Here is a 16,581-nt window from a genome sequence, read left to right on the forward strand (position 1 = left end):
ATTCCTCCAGTAAGATAGAACTGGGTAAATTGAAAAAAAAATGCTTCTACTGCTATTAAAAAATCTGGTTGAAATATAATTTTTGAATCTTCAAAAAAGCATCTAAGAATTAACAAGGTAATAAGGAATACCTAGTTCCAGATCTAATAGAAGTCAAAAATCCAGAGAAGTGAGACTAACATTTTAGGCCACTCTTTCCCTGGGGACAACATCTGACCCAGGAGAGGCAACTGAGAGGTTGGGCAGTACTTGTGAGGGCCACACAAAACTTTGGAAACAGAAGATGGAATCCAGACTCTGCCAAATGTAGGTGCCCTGAGAAATTAACCCATTCCTAGGACTGAGACCCCAAAAGTCTGTATTTCAAGAAACAGAATGAAACAGAAATAAAATCTATGAGAAGACTGCCCATAGACTGAAGCCCAGCCTCAAATTACCCGGGTAATTCCAAATCTCAGTAAGGCCATTCTTGCCCATTTTGTGTGTTGACTCACAGGACACTCAACATACAAAATGACTATGTAACCAAAATCAACAGAAACAAAAGACAGCATAAACTAATCCAAAGACACTCTAAATAGCAAAATTACCAGATAATATATCACTAGAAAACTTTGCTTAACATCTTTATAAATCGATCATGTTTATAACATCAAATTTTAAAATGTCAAAACTAAAAATAATAAAAATTAATATTGTCGATTTGAAAAGCAGCCAGTTAGAAATCTGTGAACTGAAAACTGCCATAACTGCAATTCTAAACTCCCTGGTTTAATTTTAATGTAGCTGTGACTAGGCTGAATAAGGAATCAGTAAAGCAAATTTAGAAAAAAAAACTATCTTGAATGAAGCATGCAGTTACATAAGAACAGAACAGAGCCCTCAGAAATAACACCACACATCTACAACCATCTAATCTTTGACAAACCTGACAAAAACAAGAAATGAGGAAAGGATTCCCTATTTAATAAACAGTGCTGGGAAAACTGGCTAGCCACAGGTAGAAAGCTGAAACTGGATCCCTTCCTTACACCTTATACAAAAATTAATTCAAGATGGATCAAAGACTTAAATGTTAGACCAAAAACCATAAAAACCCTAGAAGAAAACTTAGGCATTACCATTCAGGACATAGGCATTGGCAAGGACTTCATGTCTAAAACACCAAAAGCAATGGCAACAAAAGCCGAAATTGACAAATGGGATCTAATTAAACTAAAGAGTTTCTGCACAGCAAAAGAAACTACCATCAGAGTGAACAGGCAACCTACAGAATGGGAGAAAATTTTTGCAATCTACTCATCTGACAAAGGGCTAATATCCAGAATCTACAAAGAACTCAAACAAATTTACAAGGCAAAAACAAACAACCCCATCAACAAGTGGGCTAAGGATATGAACAGACACTTCTCAAAAGAAGACATTTATGCAGCCAACAGACACATGAAAAAATGCTCATCATCACTGGCCATCAGAGAAATGCAAATCAAAACCACAATGAGATACCATCTCACACCAGTTAGAATGGCGATCATTAAAAAGTCAAGAAACAATAGATGCTGGAGAGGATGGGGAGAAATAGGAACACTTTTACACTGTTGGTGGGACTGTAAACTAGTTCAACCATTGTGGAAGATAGCGTGGTGATTCCTCAAGGATCTAGAACTGGAAATACCATTTGATCCAGCCATCCCATTACTGGGTATATACCCAAAGGATTATAAATCATGCTGCTATAAAGACACATGCAAACGTATGTTTATTGCGGCACTATTCACAATAGCAAAGACTTGGAACCAACCCAAATGTCGATCAATGATAGACCGGATTAAGAAAATGTGGCACATATACACTATGGAATACTATGCAGCCATAAAAAATGATGAGTTCATGTCATTTGTAGGGATGTGGATGAAGCTGGAACCCATCAGTCTCAGCAAACTATCGCAAGGACAAAAAAACAAACACCGCATGTTCTCACTCATAGGTGAGAATTGAACAATGAGAACACATGGACACAGGAAGGGGGACATCACACATCAGGGCCTGTCGTGGGGTGGGGGGATGGGGGATAGCATTAGGAGATATACCTAATGTAAATGACGAGTTAACGGGTGCAGCACACCAACATGGCACATGTATACATATGTAACAAACCTGCACGTTGTGCACATGTACCCTAGAACTTAAAGTATAGTTTAAAAAAAACAGAAATAAAAGAAAATTCAAAAGCAAGCATAAATTCAACACTCCTGACCTCTACTTTTGGGAAGATGGAATAGATATACACTTTTCCTTATTCCTTCCTGTAAGTACAATAAAAAAAACTCTGGGTGCATTATATGTAAAACCAACATAAGAAGACTGAAAGGTGTAGAGAAGAAGGCAGACTAGCTAGGAGACTTGTTACCAGAGAAACAAGGAGGTAGTAAATTTCTGAGATTTTCTCTATGCTTTGTATATTCCAAACTTGAAGTAGAAGAGACCAGCAACCCAGAAATGCCAATGGGTATAGACAAAATAAAGCTCCAACAAAAGCCTGCTTTCTTTAGTCAAGAGACCAGGAAAGGGGCGGCTTAGTAAGAGGGAATGCATTTAGACAGTAACATCTCTACTCCAGCTAAACACATCAGAAAAAAACTGCCCGGGCCGGGAGCGATGGCTCACGCCTGTAATCCCAGCACTTTGGGAGGCCGAGGCGGGTGGATCATGAGGCCAGGAGTTCGAAACCATCCTGACTGACACGGTGAAACCCCGTCTCTACTAAAAATACAAAAAATTAGCCGGGCGTGGTGGCGGGCGCCTATAGTCCCAGCTGCTCTGGAGGCTGAGGCAGGAGAATGGCGTGAACCCAGACGGCGGAGCTTGCGGTGAGCAGAGATCGCGCCACTGCACTCCAGCCTGGGTGACAGAGCCAGACTCTGTCTCGAAAAAAAAAAAAAGAAAAAAACTGCCCCCACAAAGACTGAATCAGAAGCCTAGACTATATCTACCCTGGATAGGCTATAATGAGGACCCCAAATTTCCTAGTGGGTAGTGGTATCAGAGTAAATAAACTGTAGGGATTCAAGACTTTCATCTTTACTGATAGGACTCAAGAACCACACCCTACTCTCCAACTCTCCCAGCACCTCATGATCATTTGGAAACTATGTGGGGAGCCTGGACTTCCACCCACTCCCACAAGTAAAGAAGTACCTTTATTCTTCCCCACTGGGTAGTGTGAGACATTACTTGCACCACAACCCAGCAGTAAAAAGGCTACACCACTCTCAAGGTGTCAGTGAAAGCCACATAGGGAGAAGTAACAAGGCATTCCTCCTACCCCTTCCAGCCAGAAAGAGCTGGAACTCCCACCCTTGCCCAGCAGTAAAAGTGCAAAGTGCAAATTAAAACCATAATGAGATATCTATCTATGAAAATGACTAAAATTAAAAAAAATAGTTGCAACATGAAATGCTGGCAAGTATGTGGAGAAACTGGGTCACTTAGGCATTGCTGGTTAGAATGCAAAATGATGTAACCACTCTGGAAAATACTTTGGCAGTTCCTTTCAAATCTAAAGATGAACTTAACAATAAGACGCAGCAATTGCACTCTTAAACATATATCCCAGATAACATTTTCATTCAGATTGTACATGAATATTCTTAGCAGTTTTGTCCACAATAGCCAAAACCTGCACGCTACCTAGATGTCTCTCAGTGGGTGAATGGCTAAACAAATTGTGGTACATCCATACAATGGAATACAATCCAGAAAAAAAGGAAGACTATTGATACATGCAACAATTTTGATGAACTCCATACTAATTATGCTGAGTGAAAAAACCTGCAATCTCAAAAGGATACATATTGCATGATTCCATTTATATTCATGACATAACATAATTACAGAGTGGGAGAACAGATTAGCAGATGCCTAGGCCTAGAGATAGGGGAGGAGTAATATCAAGGAATGCTGTGGTGGGGTAAGTCTCATGATGTTGGTGATGATATACAAAGCTACACATAAAATAAAAGTTCACAGAGCTGTATACACACACACACACACACACACACACACAAATAACTGCAAGTATTACCGCTGAAATCTGAATAAGTTCCATTGCCTGTATCAATATAAATTTTATGGTATTATTGTTATTATTGTTGTACTATAGTTATATATGATGTTAGTATAACATTGGGAACTGATAGTTGAAGGGAGCACAGGACTTTCCTGTGTATTTCTAAGCAATTTCCTATAAAACTATAATTATTTCAAAATAAAAAGCTTCTCAAGACTGAACCAGGAAGAGATTGAAACTCTGAATAGACCCATAACGAATTCCAAAATTTAATCAGTAATAAAAAGCCTACCAACCAGAAAAAGCCCAGTACCAGAGAGATTCATTGCCAAATTCTACCAGACATACAAAGAAGAGCTGGTACCATTCCTACTGAAATTATTCCAAAAAACTGAGGAGGAGGAATTCCTCCCTAGACTCATTCTATTAGGCCAGCATCATTCTGCTACCAAAATCTGGCAGAGACACAATGAAAAAGGAAAATTTCAGGCCACTCTCCTTGATGAACATAGATGCAAAAATTCTCAACGAAATACTAGCAAACCAAATTCAACAGCACATCAAAAAGCTAATCCACCACAATCAAGTCAGCTTTTTAAGTGGGATGCAAGGCTGGTTCAACATACACAAATTAATAATGTCATTTATTACACAAACAGAACTAAAAACTACATGATCATCTCAATAGATGCAGAAAAGGCTTTTGATAAGATTTAACATCCATTCATGTTAAAAACCTTCAACAAACCTGGCATCAAAGGAACATATCTCAAAATAATAAGAGCCATCTAATAAGACAAACCCACAGCCATCATCATACTGAACGGACAAAAGCTGGATTCACTTCCCTTGAGAACCAGAAAAAGACAAGGATTCCCACTGTCACCACTTCTATTCAACATAGTACTGGCAGTCCTGGCCACAGCAGTCAGGCAGAAGGAATAAATAAAACGCATCCAAATAGAGAGAGGGCTAAAGTATCCTTGTTTGCAGACAATACATTTCTATATCTAAAAAAAAAAACCGATAGTCTCTGCCCAAAAGGCTCCTAGATCTGATAAAGAATTTCAGCAAAGTTTCAGGATACAAAATCAATGGATAAAAATCAGTAGCATGTCTATACACCAACAACACCCCAGCTGAATGCCAAGTCAAGAACACAAGCCTATTCACAATAACCACACACAAAACATTACCTAGGAATACAGCTAACCAGGAGGTGAAAGATCTCTACAATGAGAATTATAAAACACTGCTGAAAGAAATCACAGATGACACAAATGGAAAATTATTCCATAGTCTTGGATTTGAAGAATCAATATTGTTAAAATGGCCACATTTCCCAAAGCAATTTACAGATTCATTGCTATTCCTACAAAACTACCAATGACATTCTTCACAGAATTAGAAAACAACTATGCTAAAAAATTCATATGGAACCAAAAAAATAAAAAAATCCCCACTTCAAACTATACTACAAGGCTACAGTAACCAAAACAGCGCGGTACTGGTACAAAAACAGAGACATAGACCAATGAAACAGAATAAAGAGCCCAGAAATAAAGCTGCACACTTTCAACCATCTGGTCTTTGACAAAGTCGACAAAAACAAGCAACGGAGAAAGGACACCCTCTTCAATAAATAGTACTGGGATAACTGGCTAGCTATATGCAAAAGATTGAAACTGGACCCCGTCCCTACACCACTATATTCAAAAATCAACTAAAGATGAATTAAGACTTAAATATAAAACTGAAAGCTATAAAAACCCTGGAAGATAACCTAGGAAATACCATTCTGGACATAGGCCCTGGCAAAGATTTCATGAAGATGCCAAAAGCAATTGCAACAAAAATTGACAAATGGGAGCTAATTGAACTAAAGAGATTCTGCATAGCAAAATAAACTATCAACAGAGTAAACAGACAACCCACAGAATGGGAGAAAATATTTTCTAACTGTGCATCTGACAAAGGTCTAATTTCCAGAATCTATAAGGAACTTGAGCAAACTAACTAATAAGTACAAACCAAAGAAACCCATTAAAAAGTGGGCAAACGACATGTAGACTTTTCAAAAAAAAGAAATACACGTGGCCAACAGGTATATCAAAAAATGCTCAACATCATTAATCACTAGAGAAATGCTAATCAAAACCACAATGCGATATCATCTCACACCAGTCAGAATGGCCATTAAAAAGTCAAAAAATAACAGATGCTGGTGAGGTTGTGAAGAAAAGGAAACGCTTATGCATTAGTTCAGCCACTGTGGAAAGCAGTTGGATGATTTTTCAAAGAACTCAAAACAGAATTACCATTCAACCCAGCAATCTTTCTTTCCTTCTTTTTTTTTTTCACCAATCTCATGATTGCATATATACCCCAAAAAAATAAAGTATTCTACCATAAAGATACATGTACACGTATGTTCATTGCAACACTATGCACAATAGCAAAAACATGGAATCATCCCGAATGCCCATCAATAGTAGACTGGATAAAGAAAACATGGAATGTTTACACCATGGAATAGTACACAGCCATAAAAAGAATGAGATCATGTCCTTTGCAGCCACATGGATGGAGCTGGAGACTGTTAAATCTTGGAAGTGAAATAACACAGGAACAGAAAAGCAAATATCACATGTTCTCACTTACATTGAGTACACATGGACACAAAGAAGGGAACAACAGACACTGGACCCTACTTGAGGGTGGGGTGAGGGAGGAAGGTGAGGATCAAAAAATTATTAGGTTGGTATAAAAATAATTGTGGATTTGCCATTATTATTATTATTTTTTTTACACCAAGTCTCACTGTCTCCAAGGCTGGAGTGCAGTGGCATGATCTTGGCTCACCACAACCTCTGCCTCCCAGGTTCAAGCGATTCTCATGCCTCAGCTTCCTGAGTAACTCGGATGACAGCCATGCACCCCAACACTCGGCTAATTTTCTGTATTTTTAGTAGAGATGGGATTTCGCCATGTTGGCTGGGCTGGTCTTGAACTCCTGACCTCAGGTGATCCATCTGCCTTGGCCTCCCAAGGTGCTGGGATTACAGGCATGAGCCACTGTGCCCAGCCTGCCATTACTTTTAATACCTATTGAGTACTACTAATATGCTTATTACCGTGATGAAATAATCTGAACACCAAACTCCCGTAACACACAATTTATATGACAAACCTGCACATGTACCACTGAAATTAAAATAACAGTTAAAAAAAGTAAAAAAAATTATAAAAAGCTTAAAATAAAGGCATAAAGGAAAAGCAAAAAGATAGCTAGAAAATCCTCATGCTTGTGGAAATTAAAAAATACACTATAAATAACCTATATAAAAGAATATATCACAATGGAACTTAGAAAATATTTTGGACAATGATTTTGAATATAAACATATCATAACATGTGGAATACAACCAGAGAAGCAATTAGAGGAGATGGTGTGGAAGTGGGAGGGAGTCTATTTTAGACAGGTTCTTCTGAGAAATTCTCTTTGATGAAGTGACATCTACCTATAATTAACTGAAGGAATGTGCCAAAGGATTTTAGGGAAGAGTTTCCAGGCATTGCTGACAAATATGCAAAGGTTCTATAGCAGAATGTGCTTAGAGTGGCCCAAATAAAGTAATGATAGGTAATTATTAATTCTAGAACCAGTTCTAGTACAAAAGTATAAACTAACAACAACAACAAAAAGATCTACTGCATTTCAGCTGATATTGCTGCAAAGGATTCCATCATGCTGGCCCCAGCTTTCCTTCCTGCAACCCTCAGGCTGTTTTCATCAATGTGGCAGTAGCTTGGCTTGTTAACTTGCCAGGGTAAAATCTTAGATCTTTCACAGTTCTTGCCAGGAAGCTGATTGTTAAAATTTTATGAATTTTGCAAGCCAGTTGTGGTTTTGTTGGTAGCTCAAAATGAACCATGGTGAATAGATTTATAACACAGAAATCAGCAAATGCTACAAATCAAGATTTGTTTTTGTTTTTGTCTTGAGAGCTAGTTGTTAAACATTTATGAGTACACCACGACCAGAGAAAGATGCACAAAAAGACAGGACAAGCGCTGTATCATTTGGCAGAACATAAGGTCACTGGAAGAGCAGATGAGAGAATTACAGATGTAATGGCTGAGCTGGGTTAGGTTATCAATGCTGGAACGGGTTACGCTCAGTCAGAAAACAATAAATAGATAATTTGGTGGTTCTAGAAACAGGGATATGAGAATGAATAGAGTCATAAAAATGGACTGGTAGAAAAGGAAAGGTACTATTTTGTCTAAAAAGTTTACACATCAATTGTTTCAAAACTTGTGTCTTCTTAAACTCTCTATTTCCCACTTCTCTCTTTTGAAAATAATCACCTCCTACTTCAGAAACGAAACAGAAGAAATCAGACTTAGATTTGAATTCACTATCCCAAAACCCACAAAGCAAAGACATCTGTGCCCTTCCTCACATGCTTTTGCTTTGGCAATGCAGGGGTCTTCCTCTACTGGTTTCTTATTCTTCTATTTGTGCTAGGGAGCTCATACATCCTCTTGAATTATTACTTCAATTACCATTTTTAAATTATTATCTTACTAGAAATCTGTTTTGTGCTCTTTTCTTAGAATAATTGTTTCTCTTGGCATGCATGAAGCCACACATTCTTTTCTTTTCTACCCCATTACAATAAATAGAAATGCTTTTTTTCCCCAATATTATGATCTAAGGAAACCATTTCATTATTGTTTACAATCTGATTGTCTTTACCCATTTTCCTTTCCTCTCTGGCCAATTATTCTATTTTCTTCTAATGACACATTAACATTACATTACACTTTTATGATCTTTTCCTTTACTTCTCTTTTTTCCATTAGAATATACAATCTGTGTTATTCACTTCTCTAATCTTAGCATCTTCAGCAGCAACATCCAATAGAACTTTCATGATGAAAATATCCTAAATCTGTACGGTTCAAAATGGAAGGCACTAGCCACAGTATCACCTGAGATCACTTCCGATCCCTTGAATATCAATATAACTTGGCTAAAGCAACCAAATAATTGACTTTTAATTGTATTTTATTTTAATTAATTTAAATAGCTACATGTGGCTATTGGCTACCATACTGGACAGCACAAATCTATGCAATGCCTGGCACATCTGGTTGAAAATGTCTGGTTGAAAATGAAAGGAAGCATGATGAAAAAACACACGAATGAATGAAATACCTGCAGTCTGTTTATAATCCTACAGATTTGCCTGGAAGTTCACTTTGCTCTCTGTCTATTAAAGTTTTCTAGCATTGGTTCTGTTATCCAGTTTTTATTAGAATATTTACTTGTTTCCACATTTCAAGAGTATATGACACATATACATCTTTTTGTTTCACCATTCTTATGCTAGCATCTCAGCAAATCACTATATTCCTCTAATTTTGTTTGCTTCTTCATAGCTAAAGCAAAAATTCTGATCTATCATTCTGGTCAGAAAATCTCACTTTACCCATTTTCTCTCACAATTGTATTGGTAATTGTCTTGCTTTATTTGTAGTGAAAAATTGCATAACAGTATAAAAATAACGTTGTACCCTATAACCCGGCCTAAAAAAATAGTTAATAATACAATTTAAATTCCTATTCAGTCCTCAGTGGTCACATTTCCTTTCTTGCCTCACCAGAAACTACAGCCATCAAAATCATAATCCAATGATTTCAGTATATTTTTACCACATGTATGTCCTCCAAACAAAATACTGTGTAGTGTTGGGTTAGCTTTAAAACTATCTGAATAATAGTATACTGTAAAAAAATTCGACATAATATTTTCCTATTTAGGGCACGTTTTTAGGTGTATTCATGTCACCACACGCAGCTATATTGTATTCTTTCACTGCTGTATAGAATTTTATTGTATTAGTATATCTATTCTCCTATTGATAAACACTTCCATTGTTTTTAAATATTTTCCCTTTTGTAACCAATTTTGTTTTAAGGATTCTTGTACACTTTTCTTTGTGTATAGCACTAGAGTATCTCTAGGGCAGGCATGTGGGGAAACACATGTTGGTGTGTGTGTGTGTTTTACCTTCAAGAGTTCTAGATAAAATACTTTGTTAATTCTTTGCATTACGAAGATCTTCTCCCACTTTATTCCATGTTTTTTCTTTGACAAAGTGTTGATTTTTTAATGGAAAAAAGCATTCGTTGGGATCATCTATTGCTCAAATCCACAAATAATTACTAGAGTTAGCAACTAGACAACTTAGAAAACTCATTCCAAACACCCATAAAAATTAAAGCCTCAAAGTCAATGATGGTAAGTGCCATCTACTCTTGTAAAACCTAATACTTATCTGTATTTATAGATTTTATCTTCAACATATTGTTTCTTTTTATCAATGTTATTTTAATAGCTTTGATATAGCTATGCAATTAATAATAAACTACTTTCCTATTCTTTCATATTCTCATGAAAATATTGTTTAGTTCATCTTAAATAATTTCATTAGCCATTTTTCCCTCCTTTATCTTTTCCAGTAAATAGTGCAAATATATTGGTATTCTTCCAGTAATTATAAAGATCATATTCACCTGTTTACTTTTACTGGTCTTTATCTATAGCTTAGCTGATTCACTTTATCCAAATATGCCCAATATTAGTTAGAAGTCTACATGTCTTTTGTAAAGAAGATAAAAACGGTTTAACAATGGAAAATACTTCCTAATCTATAGAATATTTGAAAAATAACGACTTGCTTTTTTCCAGCTTTACACCTATAATATAGCTGAAATTTTGAACTCACTTAATGTCATAGTGTAAGGTACGTGGATGTGCCTTATTCAAGGAATAGGCCAAGGCAGACATCCAGGCCTGCGTGACTCAGCTGGATTGGTGTACAGGCGCACACCTCCACTTGTTATATAACCTATTTGTGTAAGTTCATACTTGGTTCTAAGCCACTAGTGTCTGTAGAAGGTATAACTACCCTTCTGACGCTGTGCATAGGGCTTGACACAGCACTGGCACCCACAGAAAGAGACAGAGAGAGAACCACAACTGTCCATCTTGCATACAGACACAGGGGAGCCACGGCACGGCCCAGAGGGAGAAAGAGTTAAGCTGCTGACCTTAAAGGCAAGGGAGAGGCTGACGTGCAGGCATGGGGGTGGCAGGAGCCACAGAGCTAGAGCAGACAGCTCAGAATAGGACAGTGTGAGAAAGCTGCTAATGAGAGAGCTAGCGTAAGACAGCTGCTGATGAGAGAGCTGCTGAATTAAACCGCACTTCACCTGCCTACAGCCCCGAGTGTTCTTTCAGCTATCTGCCCATCCACTCACTCCCCTCGAACCTTGGCATGGGCTCGAACCTGACCCCAGGCGTGATATTTGGTGTAGTCGTGGACCTAACACATAGTTTAAAAATTGTGTCAACGGGGCTTAAAACCTAGATGACTGATTGATAGGGGCAGCCAACCACCATGGCACATATATACGTATGTAACAAACCTGTAAGTTCTGTACATGTATCCTGGAACTGAAAGTAAAAAATAAAATAGTGTCCAATATTTTATCCATACAGCTTCTAAACCCCTATGCAAGGTTAAACATAACAAATAAGACCACAGAATACACAAACAATCGAGCAAGGCAGCAAACAGGAAACAGAGACAGGATCTCAACCAAGGTCTGAAAACAGGAATTTGATTGACTGTCCTCAATTAATTTAAAAACAAAAATTTTAAAAAAACCTGTAACCTGAAACACAATATTTATGGAAAAGATATTGGGAAATTTCAGCAGTCAATCCATAAGAAAAACAGAATTACAGGGACTCACATGCTGTCAGCATTCTCCCTGCCTTGGCCTCAGATTCTCTTTTTATAGTCATTTCAATTTTCTTTCTGCAGTTTGACTTTTCCGTGTTTCAGAAATCTTAGCTGCTGACACCTCCTGAGTTTTATAATATAAAGCTTCAGCCACCAAAGAGAAGCTGACTCTTTCTTACACTTGATTCCAATTATCTCTAGAGGATTTTAATTAGCCTTACTTAGACCAGGTGTCTGTATCTGATCCAATCAATTGTTGCTGGGAAGTCAGGATACTTGAACTGTGCTGCTTGAGTCTGTTCTCTTTTCCCTGGCTACATTCATGGATGGGGTGAGGATGCTGTCTACTAACATGGCTGCCCTCATGATGATACTGGGGCTGATGGGGCCGAGGAGAGAAGAGAGGAGCAAGTCTAAGTTGACATTTCTAGAGGCTCTCTTCCAAAAATAGCAGTCAGATTAACAGGTGGTGGTTCTACAGCCAGTAGAAAAATATTTTGGCTATCATGCAGAGATGTTCCTGATATATTTTTTCTTTTTTCGTTTTTTCATCTCATCTCTGTAGACACCTGAGATGGGATGTTCCTGATAAGCAGTTTTTCAACAGAAAACAAAGCTATATTATGAGGTAGCAAAGATTATATCACTAGAAGTCATAAAAGAGAAGCTATAAAATAATTTATTAAGTATGATATAGAAGGGATTAAAGAAATGTCTAAGAGACTTAACTGAATTATTCTCGATCTCCTGACTTCGTGATCCGCCCACCTCAGGTTCCTGAAGTGCTGGGATTACAGGCGTGAGCCACTGCGCCTGGCCTAACTGAATTATTCTCTAAGACCCACTTTAATATTCTATAATGCTTGATTTATTTCATTTCAGTCACCCATTGTTTCCTTTAGTAACATTAGCTTGTAGCTTTATGTTTATGTCACTGTGACTTATTTAGGAAACAAAGATGAATAGATGAATAAGGCAATTTGCACCCTCAAGGAATCCATCAATTTGACCAGACACATCTTTTTTGGTAATAGCAAGGAATTTTTTCAAAGGGCATAGAAGTTACATGCCCATGAGACAATAAAAATATTAAATCATACATTCCTGCCATCTCTTGCCTCTGTATTTTACGTTCTGTATTCTAACCACACCAGTCATTAAGACAAGCCATCTGCTTCCATGAAGCCATTCCTTTGCAAAGTCTCTTTACTCTTCCTTTCCTTAGGTCTCTAACTAATATAAAGTTTCCTTTTACTTCTCACTACAAAACGTATTTGCTTTCTTCTTTCCTTGTACTTTCTTATCAATTCAGTATCATATTGCACTTACAGTCTCTTGAATAATTGTGTACGTGTGTTACTTTTCCTACTGAAGAGATCTGAAACAGCAAGGGCTTTGTCTGTTTTATTTTTTATAATCAAAGCCCAACAGAGTATAAAATTATTTAATTGTATTATAATAAAATGAGGATTGTCAACAATGGGAAAATTTCTGAAAAATGAGATCTTGAAAATCAAAGTTTGAGTTATTGTTAATAAAATAAAGTAAAATAATTAACATTTACATGTATTTTAAAGAGCTTCCAGACTTAATATTTGCTCTTAATGTGAAGGAGCATAATCCTGCCTTAAACATAGAAAAGATTCATATTTTATAATAAACTATATGTCAATATTCTACTCACAGATTCTAGGGAAAATATTCCAGTTTTCAAGATGCAGTCACTATGATTCATTCTTAACAATTATTTTCAAAGTTATTTCAAAGAACAATAAAGAAAAATGATTTTCAAATAAAGCAAAAACAATAAAAGCAGACAGAAATGCCAAAAATGTACTTGTCAAATATTGACTATTATTTTAACTTAAGTTCCAAAATGTAAAAATCTTATTTTAGAAAATTTATAGTAACTTAATAGGAGACAAGAATAAATCATGCCTTGAGAATTGCTTTCACAAAGAATATCTTCTTTACAATCTTTTTTATTGTACAATAATAGACTAGATTTTTTGCAACAATGCAGAAGGTATTACAAAATAGTAAAAAATCATGAAAATATCATTGTTCCACATCTTTCCTATACACAGTTACAATAATTTCTTTTATAAATCTTTAAACTCTGTAACTATGATTCCTAATCTCTCTTCTCTTTCTTTGATAAAGTTCTATTGACTTTATATTATGTCTGTATTACATCCAATAGATTAGAGTTAAGATGCTTTAAATATTACATCTCATGGTTTTGCTAAAGCCAAGCACATCTTCGGAAAGATTAAATATCATTTTTCTCATATAAATCAAATTAGAACTCACAGAGTCAGCTTCTACCCATATATCCACAAAGATATCTCATACTGTATTCAGAATTTGTCTGAGTAAAGAGATGAGCCTTTCACCTTCTGGTAATTACTTGAGACTTAAAGAGTGACAGGCAATTCAAATCAGCCTTCACGATGTTAAATTATTTCCTAGGTCAATATCATGTATCATGTGTTATTATTTCACCTCTGAGTTACATCAAACAATTTTGCAGTGAATATCCTACAAGCATTTACATTTTCTGACAAAATATAAAGTACTTACATCATTTATATTGAATAAGTACTTTTTGTCTCAAATGTAAAATAAATTTTGATAAATTTGAAGCTTCAAAATTCTTATGAAAAAACTATTTTGTGAATTAGAAAGTACTATTCTGTTTTATTATGACATAGCTTTTGTTCCTGAAGAAATTTCTTTCAATTCTATTTTTAAGAATGTCAATAACTATTTATTGAACACTTCTGCAGATGTTTGATAGACATATGGAGGTATATAAGAAAATAATGAGACAACTCCTGCCCTCCAGAAGTTTTTATTTATTTGGAGATACTACTAACACATAAAATATCTAGAAAAGTCTTAACCCAAGAAAAACAAAAATGATAGCTTACACTTAAAACATACCAGTTATTCATTTACTCCTCAGCAGCCTACTGGCCCTATTTTTGTAGAGAAGATCCTAAAGCACTGAGAGGTTAAACCATTTACCAGGTGCTATCGCTGGGCAGTGCAGAGTCGGATTTAGCCCAGGAGTGTGTCACCATGTAATCCCAGCACTTTGGGAGGCCGAGGCAGGCAGATCACGAGGTCAAGAGATCAAGACCATGCTGGCCAACATGGTGAAACCCCATCTCTACTAAAAATACCAAAATTAGCTGGGCATGGTGGTGCACGCCTGTAATCCCAGCTACTCGGGAGGCTGAAGCAGGAGAATCGCTTGAACCCAGGAGATGGAGGTTGCAGTGAGCCAAGATCGCCCACTTGCACTCCAGCCTGGCAACAGAGTGAGACTCTGTCTCAAAAAAAAAAAAAAAAAAAAAAAGAGAAAAGAAAAAAAGAATTAGGGAGTGGATGGAGTGAGGGTAATATAACAGGGTTCCTAGGGTGAAAAAAAGTAAAAAAAAAAAAAAGTTCTCAGGACCCTTTAATGTGCAATTGTGTGCAGTAATGCTTTTAAATGAGAATAACGTGTGCAGTATTTTTCAATCAAACTTTAAATTGTAAGCCTGGTTGAATGGAATTAGGAGAATTACAAAGTCTGTGCTTGAGACCATAGAATTAGTCTCAAAATCAAATAGATTAAAAGTTTAAAAGGAAAAAAAAAAACAAGAGAAATATGATTTATAAAAGATCAGACTCTCGAGCATAACACCAAAATCACAAAATATTTTAGAGCTATGACTTCATAAATATATAAAGCTTCTCCGCATTATCACTCATGTCAGGAAAAGATACTGCAAATGTGGATAACAAAGACTTTCTGGATTAATATATAAATAGTTAGAAAAATCAGTAATTAAAAATGAAATATCCAAACAGAAAAGATGAACTAACGACCTGGAACTGGCAACCCCTACACAAACTGAGAGAGAAAGAGAAGGAGAGAAGGAGACAGGGAGAGAGGGAGAAAAGCAGAGAAGGAGGGAGGGGGAGAGAGAGACAGACAGAGAGAGAGAGAGAGCAAGCAAGGGACAAAAGTCAGTCTTCGGTAACCAGTAACAAGATGAAACAAGTTTTGCAGAAGTTATAATAAAATAGAAGAATCAAATGATCACATAGCAAAATGTAGTAGAGACATGCAAACTGCAAAAGAATGGCATATAAAGCAATAACATATTTATGTTGTGAATGTGAATATTAAATCCTATAAGGGATAGAAAATAATATATGATATAAATATTACACATTCGTCTTTGAGAAAGGAAAGCATGAAATAAAAAGAACCTCTTTTAATTCAGGGAAACTTTCCTAATGAAATAACAAATGTAAAGAAAAATCACTTTTATCTAGCAAATTTAAATTCAGATAACCATGTTGTAAATCACTTATCTTCAATGGTCATTACAGCTAGAGAATAGAGAGTATTTGCAACCCTGGGAACCAAAGAAAGAAGCTATTTCTTAACAAAAGTAAGCTTAAACTTGAGATAGCATTACTGTTAAAGGTAGATGATATATGCTATTTCCAGCCGTTCTGTGTCAAAGGATAAATCCTTTCGTGTGTAAAATTATAGTCTCTTCCACCTAAAATGTAAACTTTGTTTTCAATGCAAGTTTAGTATGTATTTAGATAATAATGTGACATGATAAAAGCAAAGCTAAGAGATAATATTGGTTCAGAAACTGCATTTATATTAATCATTTCAGAT

The 16,581-nt window shown here is 36.2% G+C and overlaps 1 protein-coding gene across 8 annotated transcripts in view, besides 1 other annotated feature; it reads right to left on the reverse strand.

The window, feature by feature from the left end:
• Nucleotides 1-16,581, reverse strand: part of CCDC178 (coiled-coil domain containing 178) — a 503,635-nt gene that overhangs the window by 476,093 nt on the left and 10,961 nt on the right. The window lies entirely within an intron of this gene.
• Nucleotides 10,118-11,317: an enhancer, noted in NCBI's record as "MED14-independent group 3 enhancer chr18:31003580-31004779 (GRCh37/hg19 assembly coordinates)". NCBI's record gives its function as "activates an origin of replication core promoter dependent on BRD2, BRD4, P300/CBP and CDK7 cofactors, and independent of MED14, by STARR-seq in HCT116 cells {active_cell/tissue: HCT116}" and the evidence as "EXISTENCE:reporter gene assay evidence [ECO:0000049][PMID:35650434]".

This window comes from Homo sapiens, chromosome 18 (assembly GCF_000001405.40).
Source record: "Homo sapiens chromosome 18, GRCh38.p14 Primary Assembly".
Taxonomy (NCBI): domain Eukaryota; kingdom Metazoa; phylum Chordata; class Mammalia; order Primates; family Hominidae; genus Homo; species Homo sapiens.